A 14406-nucleotide genomic window follows, 5' to 3' on the forward strand; every position below is an offset into this window, starting at 1 on the left:
CTGAAAGGAGGGCAGTTGATGAAATGCACCTGGGAAGGTTCGTGGGTTCAAAACTGTCTTGTCAGGAGGGAACTGAGTGTGGGTCAGAACAAGGCCACGGAGGTGGCGTCCACTGAGCTGTGATCGTGTACGAGGGCAGGATCTCGCTTAAATACAGTGAAACTGTCTTGCGATGGAAACTCCCTTTGCAAACAGCTCATGATTCTGCTTGTGGATAATTTAAGTTGCTGTTGTGTCTCCTGCCTTATGATAGCTAATTGCAATCACTCCTCCCACAGGAGGTGTGTCTAACCCACCTGAACGTGGTTATCCCTGAAGCCATTCCACCCTTTCGTTGCGTCAGCATTGACCCAGAAGACTCATTTTGACCCCGGCCTGTCGTCATCGAGAGCAAGGCCACGGCAGTCACCCGCTGCCCTTGTGCGCAATCGCTGCTCAGTGGACGCTGCCTCCGTGGCCTTGTTCTGACCCACACTTGGTTCCCTCCTGACAAGACAGTTTTGAACCCATAAACGCCTATCTTTCCAGGTACATTTCACAACTGCCCCCCTACCAGTCACCACCGCCCCACCTGCCCACAACACTGCAACGGAAGCCGTCTCTCAAGCAGGCCTCACTGAAGACCACGGTCCATGCTGCTGAGGTCATGAATGTCCCCAGCGTGGCCACCTGGCACTGGCTTTTCCCCATCTGGGGAAGCTGGAAATGCCCAAAGCCCGGGTCTTGGATTCTGCTTTTTCTACTCAGATAAAGACACTTGGATCTGGGTCTGAAGTGCAGGCTGTGTTCCCACTCATCCCATCACTGAGGTCCTTGTGACCCCAGGGTCAGCTGTGTTCCCACTCATCCCATCGCAGAGCATCTGTGACCCCAGGTCATGCTGCTTATTCTTCCCAGGCTGCATATCAAGGTATACATATCAATGTATACCATCAGGATGAAATATCTTCCTAGAAGAAGTGATAGAGAAATAAATGAGGAGATGATTTGAAAAGCACTTTGAACTAAGAATTCTGAGCCTCTGGGCTGTCACTCTGGGCAAACCACAAAATATCAAAGAGCCGGTCTGTCATCAGCCACCAATCCAGTTAGCAGACACGACCGAGAACCCTGGATTCAGAAGCAGCCGCCAACCCAGTTAGCAGACACGACCAAGCACCCTGGATTCAGAGGCAGCCACCAATCCAGTTAGCAGACACGACCAAGCACCCTGGATTCACAGGCAGCCACCAATCCAGTTAGCAGACACGACCAAGCACCCTGGATTCACAGCCAGCCACGAATCCAGTTAGCAGACACAACCAAGCACCCTGGATTCAGAGGCAGCCACCAATCCAGTTAGCACACATGACCGAGCACCCTGGATTCACAGGCAGCCACGAATCCAGTGAGCAGACACACCAAGCACCCTGGATTCAGAGGCAGCCGGTTTTTCAGAACCAGCTCTGTTGTTCACTAGCCTCCTGGCCTTAATTAAGTTTCTTATTTCCTGAGCTTGTGTTTCCAGGTAAGATTCTCAAGAGACAAAGAAGAATAATGCTCCCTAAAAGCTGCCGCACACATGCCCTGTGTGTGCCCGTGACATGTCCCAAGCCCTGATGGGGAGTGGCTCATTTTGTACCACACAGCTGTCATCCCCACTTCACAGAGGAAGAAACTCAGGGGGCTGAAATACTTGCCTGAGACATGGAAGCAGTCAGTGGCAGAACTGGGAGATAACCGAGAAACTGAGTGGAATGCCGCCTAATCAAAGGACCCCTATGGAGAAGGTCCTCATGAAAAGGCAGCAGATGCTCCTTTTTTATAGCAAAAATGTTAATTCTTTCTATTTTGGCTGAACTTTTCACATCCCAATTCCTCTCTGGAGCTGCTGACACACAAGCCCCAGGTGGCAGGGCGAGCTCTCTCCGCCTGCTTATGTTTTTTTCTTGCTTGTGACCCAGAAAAATTGCCAAAGTCAAGGAACATTCTGTAATGAGATTTTACTATGAAAGAGGAGATTTACTCCCATGAGTCTCAGATGGCACAACTTGTTTGTCAGCTAAGACCGCTGCTTTCCAGTCCTAATTCTGTTCTGGTAGATGTTTTAAGTATTTCATTTTTGTTTTGTTTCTAGTGAGAATGTAATGTGATATGAGGCTAACCTCAAGCTGCAGATGTAGAGAATCACCTGGAATTATCACAGGGTGTTGCCCTGCGAGGATCTGGGCACGCCAGGTGATGAGTGGCATGTGCACGACAATGTACGGATGGAAAGAGTCCACGTAGGTTATAAGATTCCTGAGTCCATGTCATCGGTGTTGGTTCCTTGGGGATGGACCTGGAATACTTTTCCACGTTGGGTGCAGCTGGGACTGAAGATCTTCCAATTTGATTTCGACAAGAGCCAATAAAAGCTGGAAACACCAGACAATTGAAAATATTAGAAATTGTTAATTTTCTTAAAAATCTCAACTTTGTTTCAATTAAGACTTCAAAACCACTGCTTCCAGAGTCAGTGAGTTTTGAGGGAGATATGGAATGCAACAAAACACTCCAGGATAGTTCAGCTCACTTTTCTGCCTCACGTGGGATTCGCCCTGATGCTTCGCCCGCCCCTATTTATTAGGAGAATACTTGAGTCAGCCCCTCTCAGAGCCACTCCCAGCTTCTCACTTCTGGAGGTGGTTACTTACCCTGGACAGGTGGAGGCAGAGGACTTGGCGTTTAATCTATAATTTTACATAGAAACAGAGACACTGGTGGAAAACGATGGGTCATTTGCTGGAGTCTGACCACGAGTTGGTTTTACAAATTTCCTTAATTCTAGTGGAGGAAAGTGGTACAAATCTGTGTGTAATTAATAATGCCACAGCAAACAATCTTCATACTTTAAAAAGAAATCAGCCATTTAGGAGGCCACTTAGTGGCCAAATATAAGCAGTGTTTACAGGGCCTCATTTTCAAAATTAAAAATTAAAAGAGAAAAAGAAATCCCCAAGTCCCCTTAAGTAGAAATCTTGAGGAAATTTATGCAAAGTTACATTGACAGCTTTAACCCTGGCTGGCTTTAATTAGCTTGGTAAAGGTTAATAGCCTGTATCGTAATGTATTTCCTCAAAGGTGTCTCTCATTCCACATCGAAAGACCTTTTCACACAGATTATTCAAATTATAGCTTAATATTTCTTGATTAATTGTACTGGGAGGAGGTAGTGTGTCTGAGCGTGATCTAATCAGTGGAGAACGCAGCGGCCGTCACGCCTGGGTACGCTGGCAGCGGAGCTCCTCCCGGAGGACCCCTCCCCCTCCCCGCCGATTCCTCTCCTGTCTGCGTTTTCCAGGCTCATCTCAGATGCCGCCTTGTCTATGAAGCTCTCTTTGGTTCCTGCCCAGACCTCATCAGAATCAACGCCCCGGCTCTGTGCTGGCCAAAACCCCACGGTGCCTCTGGCCGTATGCAGTCCTTTCTTCTGACCCCATCTCGTCCTCCAGTCTCCACTGGTCTCAGGTCAATAGCTTTTTCCGAGGAGGCATCTATTAAATTGTTAAAGAATAGATTCGCAGCTGCCACCTGCTCAGAACAGTGGGAGACCATGTATGAAAATGGCCTGCCAGGCGGCCTGTGCCCTTGCAGGTTCCTGACTCAAGGAGATCTTAGGGAAGGCCCAGAGATGATTTCACTTTGGGTGAGCACATGCAAAAAGGGGCGTGTGCAGATTCTTCACAAGCTCTGCTTGGACACTGGCCCACCATCCCAGCACTTAACGCGACTGGCCCAGGTGGCAGAGGCACTGGTGTCCATCAGGGCCCACAGGTCGGGAATGCACACTGCTAACTGCAATTTGCTTTGCTCTCATTCATTTTAGCAGGGGAACTGCTGCAAAGAACATCCCTAAAAAGAATATCATGGTCTGGACTTTTTTTTTTTTTTTTTTTTTTTTTTGAGACAGAGTCTCGCTCTGTCGCCCAGGCTGGAGTGCAGTGGTGCGATCTCGGCTCACTGCAAGCTCCTCCTCCTGGGTTCACGCCATTCTCCTGCCTCAGCCTCCCAGATAGCTGGGACTACAGGCACCAGCCACCACGCCCGGCTAATTTTTTGTATTTTTAGTAGAGACGGGGTTTCACTGTGTTAGCCAGGATGGTCTCGATCTTCTGACCTCGTGATCTGCCCGCCTCGGCCTCCCAAAGTGGAAATTTTTTTTTTTAAGTTACAGAAACCACAGTTGAGAATTTCACAGTAATCAACCCACTGGCACGTCTGTTATGAGGTCTTCATCATCCCACAAACGCGTTGTTCCGCCTTGATCTTGTGAGGCGCTGGCCCTCTTCTTGTGGAGTTCTCACCGGCTCAGAGGGTCAGTGTGAGTGAGCCGATGTGTGCCGCACACCCAGGATGTCTACAGGACTGGGGGCTGGAAAATTGAGTGACATCTCTTGCCCTGGCACCTGTGGCAGGCAGTTCTGGGTAACCAACAGGAATCCCTCAGGCTGTGGGGCTGGACGGGAGACTGCAGCCTCCTGACTGAGTGTGCAGGTGGGAGACGCCGCCGAGTCACTTGTTGGAACGTGGCCCGAAACAAACTGCGGGTTTTGCTGGGCCCTCCCTGTTGCTACTGGAAGAGTCCTGTCACATGGATAAGCACCCCGCCCCTCACGGCCCCAGGACATCGGGTGCCCTTCAAGGTCCAGGGGAAGGCGCCCTGCCTGGCGCAGCCTGGAGTCTCCCGTCCACAGCCGGGGACTGCTTCACACCTGGTGCCCACATTCTGCCTCTCGTTAAACATTGCATGCGATTCCTGCGAGTTCTCTGGCATGAGACGATGACCTAGTAATGGGGTCGCAGCAGGGACGGGAAGCTGGCCAGGCGCAGGCTGTGCTCGCAGGGACGGGAAGCTGGCCAGGCGCAGGCTGCGGTGTGGCACAGGGGGACCAACCAGAGGGAAAGGCTGACCCCCTGGGTGCCTCAGAGTCTGGCACATTCCAGCCTCTCCATGGCCCGGCTCTCATGGGATGCTCCATCCAGGGGGCATTTTGCAGACTGGGGATAGGACTGTCACGGTGATGGGGGGCACTGATGGTCACCCCCGTGCAGGGCCCTGGGCCGAAGCCCCGCCCCTCCTGCCCCTGCCGGCTGGGCCCTGGCAGCTCCCCCTACCCCCTCACCTTTGAAGAAAACCACATTCCCGCCAAGTCTGCCTTCCTCAAAGGATGGACTTGGTGTTCATGTCTGTGTCTCGGGACTCTGAGCGATGGGACAGCATCTGGAATGTCACTGAGCCATCCGCGACTTCGGGAGCTTGTGGGATGTGGCGTCAGGCATGGGGCGGCTCCTCAGGGCTTCTGGAAGGTTGTAGGCGCAACTTCCTTTTGTCTCTCCTTTTTATTGTAGTGAGGAAGCAGGATTCAGATTTGAAAATGATGTTTATAAGTAGATGCTAAACTCAAATGATAAGATGTGTGACCGAAAAAGGAGGCACGGACTCAGCGCCTGGAGAAACACCCGGAATCGTGCTCCCAGCAGGATGCAGCCCCCTGAGCACCAGCACGGTGGGCCTGACGGGGCGGGGGCGGCTCTGCAGGAGCAGGAGTCCTGTGGGCTTGGTGGGGGCGCACACTGGGCTTTCTCCAGCTGATCTTACATTTTAAGTAGAGACACAAATCGGGGAAGGTGTCTGCTATCTTAAGTCTTGGCCGCATGGGGCCACTGCTACAGGGATCACTGTGTGGCCTCCTGGCCCCGTCCTAAGGCAAGTGCCTGGCCTCCTGGCCCCATCCTAAGGCAAGCGCCTGGCCTCCTGGCCCCGTCCTAAGGCGAGTGCCTGGCCTCCTGCTCTTCGGGCTTCAGGGCTCCTGCAGAGGGTGGCTCCTTCTTCCTTTCCATATGCTGTGGTCATCGTCTCTTTGTAAGTTCAGTCTCTCACTGGGGCCCACAGGTGGTGGTTTCTTGCTTGTGACGCTGAAAAATTGTCAAAGTCAAGGAAGATTCTTTAGTGAGATTTTACTATGAAAGAGGAGACTTACCCGTGAGAGTCAAATAGCACAACCCATTTGTCAGCTAAGACTGCTGCTTTCCAGGCCTAATTCTGTTCTGGTACATGGTTTAAATATTTCATTTTCATTTTGTTTCTAATGAGAACGTAATGTGATACAAGGCTAACCTCAAGCTATAGACGTAGAGAATCACCTGTAGCAAGTTAACAGGACCCCAGCGCCTTCCAGGAGCTGCGTGAGTGGTGTTCAGGGCGCAGCTGCGTCTCTCCCTCCCTGCCCCAGTGTTGGTCTTAGGAGGAAAACATCCAGCCTGACCCGTTCTATGACAGACGTGTCACCAACCTATCCAACCACTTCTCTCCCTGCAGCAGGTCTTGGGGCTCCTAAGTGGACCTGGGGTGAGTGGGACAAGGTTTACCAGCAACGCCTACATGTGTGTTTTGGGCTCAGCCCTGCACCCACTTCCCAGCAAGCCCAACAGATGCTGAGCACTTGCGGGAGGCTGGGACCCGAACACACTGTCTGTTCTCTCAGAGGCAGGAGCTACGGGGCCCAGGACCAGAAGGAATGAGATCCTTCTCCTCCCACGGGCTGGTCACTGCTGTAATCTCTCCTCTTTGCTTTCTGAAAAATGAAATTTTTATCAAAGGCCTGAGTCAGGGTGAGGGGATTTCAGAGGCAAATTCCACACAGAGCAGTGAACCTGAGTTTCGCTGGCCCCGGTTGAGGGGGAGGTGGGTGCGGCTCTCTGCAGGGAAGACCCCTTTCCCTCGGCTGGCACTGGAGTCCGCGTTGAGCTGTGACCGCAGACGCGCTTTCCTTGCTTTGGGACGCACCTGCAAGGAGACCCAGTCCCCCCCAGAAACATGAGGCCTGCGCCTGGGCCTTGTGGACTTTGCCCCGCAATGATTTCCTGTCGTTGAAAAAACTTTCAATCTAACTTTCCCCCGAAATGATACAAGCAGGGTTTATTTTGGTATTTTTAATGTAGAAGATACTTTGATTATTTAGAAAACACCGCATGCCTGATACTGTGCTTGAAAAGGTAAATCTCTTGAACTTTATGGCAGACAGTCGTGTTTTCCTTACTGTCCCCCCCAAACCTCATCTTTCTTCTGAAGGAATTCTACAACAGACCTGCAATCATCCTCCCATTGTTCCCCCAGCCCTGACCCACTTCCAGGGTGTGGCTGACCATGCTGTCAGGAAGGCCTCCGTGGTATCAGGGAGGCGACCGTGGAGGCTTGGGAGTTGGCAGAATTTGTATTTCTGTAATTTTGCTTTGCTGCCCAGGCTGGTCTCAAACTCCTGGAAGCAGTCCCCCCACCTCAGCCTCCCAAAGTGCTGGGATTACAGGCGTGAGCCACGGTGCCCAGCCCAGAAATCTGAATTTCTAGGACTTCCAGCTCCTGGTACCTTTCACCACAGCTCTAGCCCTGCTGTCCACTTCACATCTGGCTCCTTCTGTTCTGAAATGGAACTTGGCGCTAACTGGATGATCAGGCATTTCTGCATGTTGAGTGCCGTGTCTGTACATCCGTGAGATGCACTGAGATGCATGTTTTTGGCACTGGCTGCTCTCGTTTGTCTCCAACACGCAGTTACTCCAGGATGAAATGCAGTGGAGAAACATGGATTGTTTAATTAAAGCAGGAGCTGTTATAATTCTTTCTCTGAAGGTTTGGCATTGGCCTTGCAAGATGGCGGCTATCATCAAAAGTTATCAAAACTCACTTGCTCCTCAGCAGGGTCTTAATGACGTCTCCATGAACTAAATATTATGAGACTCAACCAGAAGACCATGCTTACTCAAACTGGCTTCCCAATGCCACAAACTAGAGTGACTTTGAGAAAAACTGATTAGAGCAGTTCAAAAGCTCTAATTAAAAGGAGAAAAAGGAATATTTTTCCCTGCCTGCAGCAGCCGTATGTATTCAGGGTGATTCTCCATAGATTAAAAAAAAAAAGATCCTATCAAGAGTAACAATTTAAGTCCTAGAAAAATCTTTAGCTCTCACAAAGACTAAAATTGGGAAATTTGCCTAAACTGGTGTTTAATCAAATGCAGAACAGAAATCCATTTTGGAAACTGCATTTTATTCCCAAGTAAGAAAACTGGCATCGGGGGGAACTGATGGAAGTTGCCAGGCAGATGAACTATATGCCGACAGCTCCAGCCTGTCCTTGGGTCCCGTGGCCGAGCCCCTTCCGCGAGGCTGGACGCTGATGGAGCCACACAAGCCGCAGCCCCACTCTGAGGGCCACATCCACTTGGAGGTGCATCAGAGCCCCGGCTTGCCCCAGCCTCCCCTGCACCTGCACTTGCTTGTCATGAAGAAGACGGCAAAGGAGGGCCTGGTGGTGTCTGCTGTGAACAAGAATACAGGCGATAGGTGACCTCTGCAAATTCCCTGCTGGTGCCTCTGGTGAGCGTCCAGTGAACCAGGTGCCCTAGGGGTGCAGAAGTGTGCTGCCCACACCTGGTCTTGCTGGCAAACAGGCTCATCCCAGAAGTCATGTGGCAAAGCAATTCACGCCAGTTAATCTGTGCCGAGGGCCTACCAAGCCCTCCACATTCATACAGGGTCCTCATTTAATCCTTCTCAAAATCCCGTGAGGGTGAGCATCATCCCAGTGTTCAGGTGTGGACGCCAAGGCTGAGCATATTGAGGTAGCCTGTCCACGCAGGTGGCGGGAGTCATGCTCAGGCCCTTGGCGCGCCCTTGGCAGCGGTTACACGCCCTGCTTTCAGAGACACGTGGGGTCATCGTAACAGTTTCTGGATCACAAGGGGAGGGATCCTACCTCTCAGGAAGTGAATCCTGTCATGCCACTGGTTGTCTCTGAACCACAACTGTTACAACGGTGGCACTGGCGACAAGACGCGTGAACCTTACCAAGTGGATGCTGAGTCTGTGGTCATAATAAAATCCAGAATTAGGCAAAGAGTTTGCCATGGTGCACTGGCATGAGTTTGAATGAATTATACCTTGACACTGGACTTGCCCAAGGGTCAGGAGTTTGAGTGAATTTTACCTTGGCACTGGACCTATACAAGGATAGACATTTGTATGTACGATAATTTAAAAAGGACTTGAAATTTGAAAAGAAATTTAAATTTTAAAAGAACTTGAAATTTGACAAGGAAACAGTGAGTAACACTGGAGAGGCAGAAGATAGTACAGTGGGTCTGCTAGGAGGGGAAAACACAAACGAATGGGTCACAGGTGACCCGGGAAGCTGTCTGGCAGCCCTGATGGAGTTGAGCCAGCCCACTCCTGGATGAGCCTCAGAAACACTCCCCACAGCCTCCCAAGGTGGCATCCTATGGCTGTTCCCAGGATTTCTCTGTGGTATCAGGGAGTGTCATCATTAGGGGAGCTGTATTTGTGGGCTGATGGGTTCAGGGGAGATGGGGCCCTGCCCACGGGGCCAGCTGGACTCTGAGTCTTTCAGTCTTGATCTATTGCTGCCGGACGGTCTCTCCCCAAGGCTGAAGTTACATGGCTGTGTGCGCCTGCAAGTTAAAACTCACTGCATCAGTTACTGAAAGGAGGAGGGCGGAATGGACATGAGGACAACTCGTTTCTGCCACAGCAATGGAAACGTACAGTGTGGCTGACGCAAACGACAGCACGTCAGACAGCAGCTAGAATCCACAGTGAGGTGCACAGACAGCAAAATGTGTGCGCAACTTAGAAACAGGCTGCGAAGAGGCGAGAGGAAGCAAAAGGCACGACACTGCTCACCTGAAGGCTGCTGTGGCCTGAATGCGTCCCCTCCCCAGAATGTCAGCCCCTTCACAGTGGGCTTCCCAGCACCCAGAACTATGGGAAATACATTTCTTTTCTTTACGGATGAACCAGTCTCGGGTATCGTGACAGCAGCCCAAGATGGACCCACACAATCATCCTGTGTACTTTAATGGAAACGACTCAAATCCACACATCAGGCCCACGGCAAGGATGCTGACTCCAGGTCGCAGTAGGGGAGGTGCTGGGGACCTGTGAGGCTGATGACACAGTCGTGTCCCAAACTGGACACAAATCACACAGCTCCCTGTGGCTGAGGTCACCAGAGGAAAGAAAAAGCAAAAAAAAAAAAAAAAAAAAAGAATGTAGAGCAGATATCTGAACAAAGAGATTTTTCATTCCAAGTATGAAGCCAGGAAGGAGCCCGCTGGTTCTACTCTTCACTCCAGCGTGCACTATGTGTGAACACGGGGCTGTCCTGTGGGCACCGGCCTGGCACCACCACTGCCAAAATGCATCTTAAATGCAGAAGAGCAAATCATGCTTCTGTGTTTTGCATTTTGAAAACATTGGAAAGAAAGCTCCTTTGCAAGTGATTGAAAAAGTTATTTTGTATTTTGATGACTGGGTGAAAACCACATTTCAGAGATGAAAATTAAAGAGGAAATTTAACAATTGCATAATGATAGTAGATTCTAATATAAAATACTGGGAATCTAATTTTCTGAAGGCAAAAATAGAGAGCAGTTCTGTCATTTCCCATAAATCTATACACAGGACATTTTCCTGCCTGTAATCTCTTTGCATATTTTTAAGTGGATTAGTTCCAGTGGGTGTGTTCAGGGATATTTGCATACTAGTGCAAATATGTTAAGCTCAGCAGGGTGATTTCCCAAATTCATTCAAATGCTATTATTGATAACAGGATTTTCTGTGGAACTGTGTGCCACTGTGGAAGGGCTGATCTGAGTTACTGCCTGTACAGACACAGACGCACTTTATTACCTGGATGAATTTAGACATGGGGGGCAGGAAACTGTGAGGCCAGGCTTTCCTCCTGTCCACCAGCATCTACCAGCATCCAGGGAGAGTAAGAGATGGCATATCTGTGCCAGTGCAGCTGTCTTTAGAATAAACAAATATTTAGCTAAAATAACACATACCTATTTCTTTGCATTTCACCCTGAAAACAACAAGAATAGAGTTTGCAGAAGGGCTTTTACGCTCACAGTGTGGTTAAACTGGCTTCTCGGCTAAGAGCGGGGCTTGCTTTTATTCTATGCTGTCCTCAAGGTCAAGCACAGAGAATTCCAGGGTGGGTGTATCCTGTGCATTGTGGAAATGCTCAGAGCCCCTGGGCCCCGGGGGGAAGATCCACAGGGGAGAGGTGAGCCCTGTTGTCACCTTTGTTGGATGTCCAGCACCGTACCTCTCTCGGGGGAGGGGGATTGGGGTGGGGCCGCGCCGGCTGCTGTGAGCCCTTCCTGCAGGAAGGTGGGCTCAGATCATGAAGCACTGCCTCCAGGAGGCAGGAGCTGGAAGACGGGGCTCCAAGGCCCTGTGGCCCCTGGCTGAGCAGTGTGACCATGAGCGCAGGCACCATCCATCCACGTGGAGACAGAGCAGCCGCACAGGGCGGACGGCGTATCAGAGCAGGTGAGCTGACAGCTGGGCTCCAGCAAGAGCTTTCCAGGAATCGCTGTCAGGGCTGGGAGGAGCAGTGGCCCCAGGTTGGGAGGAGACGTGACAGGACCGGGCCTGGGGAAGCGTGTGCTGGCGTCAGGGAGAAGACGGCAGCCGCGACATCTGGCACCTGGGGCTGCAGAGCCTGAGCACCCCGGACCGCGCCCGGCGAGGGCGGCCTCCCTGCGCTGAGCGCGACCTGCGTGTCCTGCTCTCGGCTTTCGTGCCGGTTCAGAAGAACAAGGCCGGAAGGTTGCGGTCTCAGCGCTCGCTCCATGCCGGGAGCGCGCAGAGCTGAGGGCGCTTGCGTGTCCGGCACAGCGTGGAGCCCGCGTTCCTCTCTGCACTCAGGAGCTGCGTCCCGTTCCGTGCTGGCGATGAGGACGCCGGCCTCCGCCAGGCCGAGTCAGCACTCTGTCCCCGGGGTCTGACTCCGTGGCCCCTGTCCTCGCTGGGTCTCCCCGTTCCAACTTTAGTGACACGGTCTCAGGAGAGGATGCAGGCAGAACGGGCTTTCCTTTTTCCTGCCCTGGGGGCTGACATCTGCCTCACGGATGCCACCCACTGAAAGGGCAGCCCTTGTCGCCTTAACTCGTTTTCCATCTCAGTTACCGTCCTCGGCAGGGCACTGTCACATCCTAACGTGAGGACGAAATGGGCTTGACCTCCCAGCAGCAGCCGCCCCGGTGGCTGCAGGTACCCCCGAGGCCGGCCCCAGACACTGAAAGGGAAGCAGCCAGCCTGACCAGGGAGGAACCGGTGTCAACGCGCTCAGATTCCAGAGCCGGCACCGTGCCATAGGGCAGGAGAGAAGGAGGACATGAGGCGCAGGACGCAAGTTCAGGCCACCCTGACCCTGAAGAGGGTGCAGCCACCCCGCAGCACACGCTGATAAAAGGGTCTCTTCTGTTGTGGGCTCCGAGGCCTGCAGAGCCGAGACCTGACCTGATAAAGCCAGAGCAAGGGGCTGCAGCCACCGCAGGAGGCTTCAACGATTCATGGTGAAAGGTCCGACTGAGAGCCCTGGAGTGTGTTATCCCAGGAGAGCTCCTTGAGTGTGACTGAGAAATAGATCTGGGGTCCTGTCACCAAGGCGGTGTATAAACAGTTTACAAATGACAGCAGATACGAATCACCGAAGCCAGGCAGAACACCCCTCGTTCGTCCACGATAGAGCTCTAGTCTTGCAGGGGTTCAGTGGTTTAAGGAAGATGCGTTGTTGGGGAGCCACAGTCCCTGGCTTATCACACATCTTGCCATGGCTTGATTCAGGCCAACATTGATACTGCATTTCAGTTAAGTTGAATTAGACACTGCAAGTCAATGTCAGTTGTTTTGGGCTTCAGTTCACATCTGGTTCAGCTCAAGTTGTTAGTCCAGGGTTGGGAAGAGAAGTGGCGCTGGGCTTAGGCGTCCTCATCTCCCGAACCTGCCTGACACTGTGACACTGGGTTGGGTGGGAGTGGGAAAAGAGGGGAAGGGATTCTGAAAATACTAATTCTAATTTTGCAATCTATCTTTACAAATATCATCCCAGGGCTCCTTGGAGAAGCAGCTGATCCCAGCTCCGGGGCACAGAAAGTTTCCGGTAAGCCTGGGGCTTCAGGGCCTTCAGAGCAAGAAAGTGCCCTTGGCAATGGGGCAGGTGGAGAAAATGCAGGAGCCAGCCCGGAGAGGCTCCCACTGCCCAAAGAAGAACCTGGGAGTCCACGAAGTGGGAAGGGGGATTAGGGAGAGAGACGGAGAGCTGGGGGCAGGGGAAACAGGTAAGCCAGAGAGAGAGCTGGTGGGCAGGGACAGGAGAGGCAGAGAGCGAGGGAGACGGGCAGGGTGGGGGAGAAGACTGAGGGGAGAGAGAGGCTGAGACGGAGTGGGAGGGGGGAGAAGACTGAGGGGAGAGAGAGGCTGAGACGGAGCGGGAGGGGAGGGCATCTGGTTTCCCTTCGGCAGCCACTCTGACATCATTGTCAACTCTACTCGGAAATCGGTGAGGAAAGGGACTGACTTCAGCAGTTCCCCCTTGCTTAAGAGAAAGTGTGTTTCATTTCCTCTTGATGAGAAAAAAGCCTTTTTCACAGAATGCTTGGTAATAAATGTGGCAGGAATGGTGAAATTAGAAGATCAACTATTTTGCAACCCGAATGAAGGCACTGATTTGGGAAAAGGCCGTTGGCAGTTGCTGAGGCATCCGGGGACCTGGAGGCAGAGCGTTTGCGGGCGCTGGGGCATCTCTGCATAGGTTTACCACCGACGGCTCTGCACTCACCTCTTCAGACAAGCGATTGCCCTGGTGCTCCATGCCACCCCATCGACGCCTTCCCTGAACTCACCCTGCACCCACGTGCCCTCTGAATCCGACGCCTGAAGACCTTACTTCCGGTGGCAGGAAATGCAGCCAGCAGGAGGAAAGGTTACGTGATGGAGGGAGAAGCTGTTCTACAAGAGCAAGACTGGGGCCTGGCCCCGTCAGAGTCACCACCTTTAGGGAAGCAGTGGACAGAGATAAATGAGACAACACAGGCTCGCAACCAAATGCAGAGCCCGACCGTTGTTGGCTGCTGGTTGGAAAGATGTGCTGGGGACAGTGGGGAAATCTAGATAGGAACGGAGTGGAGTTGATATCACATAAAGTGACCACGAGCTTGCCTGGGATGGTTCTGGCTCACACCTGCTGTTTCCGCATAATTATTAATCCCACCTCATTCACTTTCCAAAGTGTCCTGTTCTGCTGATAATTCCTATGGTCATTCAAAAGCTGGGGAATTGGTGTAGTTGTCTTAGGCATGAATAATGGTGTTGAGCTTACAGGGTGTCTTCATTCCTAGGAGATGCCTCAGGCTCAGAGAATTTAAGCTACTTGGAGAGACCAGGGGCACACAGCTCATCTGATGTAGAACTGGTTTATAAAAACTGTGATAAACAAAACAACCCAAAAGTAGGCACGGGACCGGAATGGAAATTCTCCTAAGAAGATAGACAAAGGTCAACACGCACGCAAA

The 14406-nt window shown here is 51.9% G+C and overlaps 1 protein-coding gene across 19 annotated transcripts in view, besides 2 other annotated features; it reads right to left on the reverse strand.

The window, feature by feature from the left end:
- The window catches only part of ERICH1 (glutamate rich 1), a 116479-nt gene that overhangs the window by 23693 nt on the left and 78380 nt on the right, over nucleotides 1–14406 (reverse strand). For 5 of the 19 annotated variants that reach the window (XR_007060707.1, XR_007060706.1, XM_047421395.1 and 2 more), the window contains one exon: nucleotides 2171–2396. The exons of 7 other annotated variants lie outside the window; for them this stretch is intronic. Coding sequence is in view for 8 of the 12 variants with exons in the window: in XM_047421395.1 (XP_047277351.1) it covers nucleotides 2171–2396 (226 nt within the window). In the remaining 4 variants the exon portion in view is untranslated. Of the gene's footprint in view, nucleotides 1–15; nucleotides 951–2144; nucleotides 2397–5144; nucleotides 5938–6675; nucleotides 6809–10977; nucleotides 12855–14406 lie in introns of those variants that run through there. 7 more of the 19 variants (XM_047421404.1, XM_047421400.1, XR_007060708.1 and 4 more) reach the window with 6 other exon arrangements.
- Nucleotides 13207–13708: an enhancer, noted in NCBI's record as "H3K4me1 hESC enhancer chr8:601645-602146 (GRCh37/hg19 assembly coordinates)". NCBI's record gives its function as "activates a minimal SCP1, AML or CMV promoter by ChIP-STARR-seq in naive H9 embryonic stem cells {active_cell/tissue: H9 hESC(naive)}" and the evidence as "EXISTENCE:reporter gene assay evidence [ECO:0000049][PMID:30033119]".
- Nucleotides 13709–14208: an enhancer, noted in NCBI's record as "H3K4me1 hESC enhancer chr8:602147-602646 (GRCh37/hg19 assembly coordinates)". NCBI's record gives its function as "activates a minimal SCP1, AML or CMV promoter by ChIP-STARR-seq in naive H9 embryonic stem cells {active_cell/tissue: H9 hESC(naive)}" and the evidence as "EXISTENCE:reporter gene assay evidence [ECO:0000049][PMID:30033119]".

The sequence above is a fragment of the Homo sapiens genome, chromosome 8 (assembly GCF_000001405.40).
Source record: "Homo sapiens chromosome 8, GRCh38.p14 Primary Assembly".
Classification (NCBI taxonomy): Eukaryota; Metazoa; Chordata; class Mammalia; order Primates; family Hominidae; genus Homo; species Homo sapiens.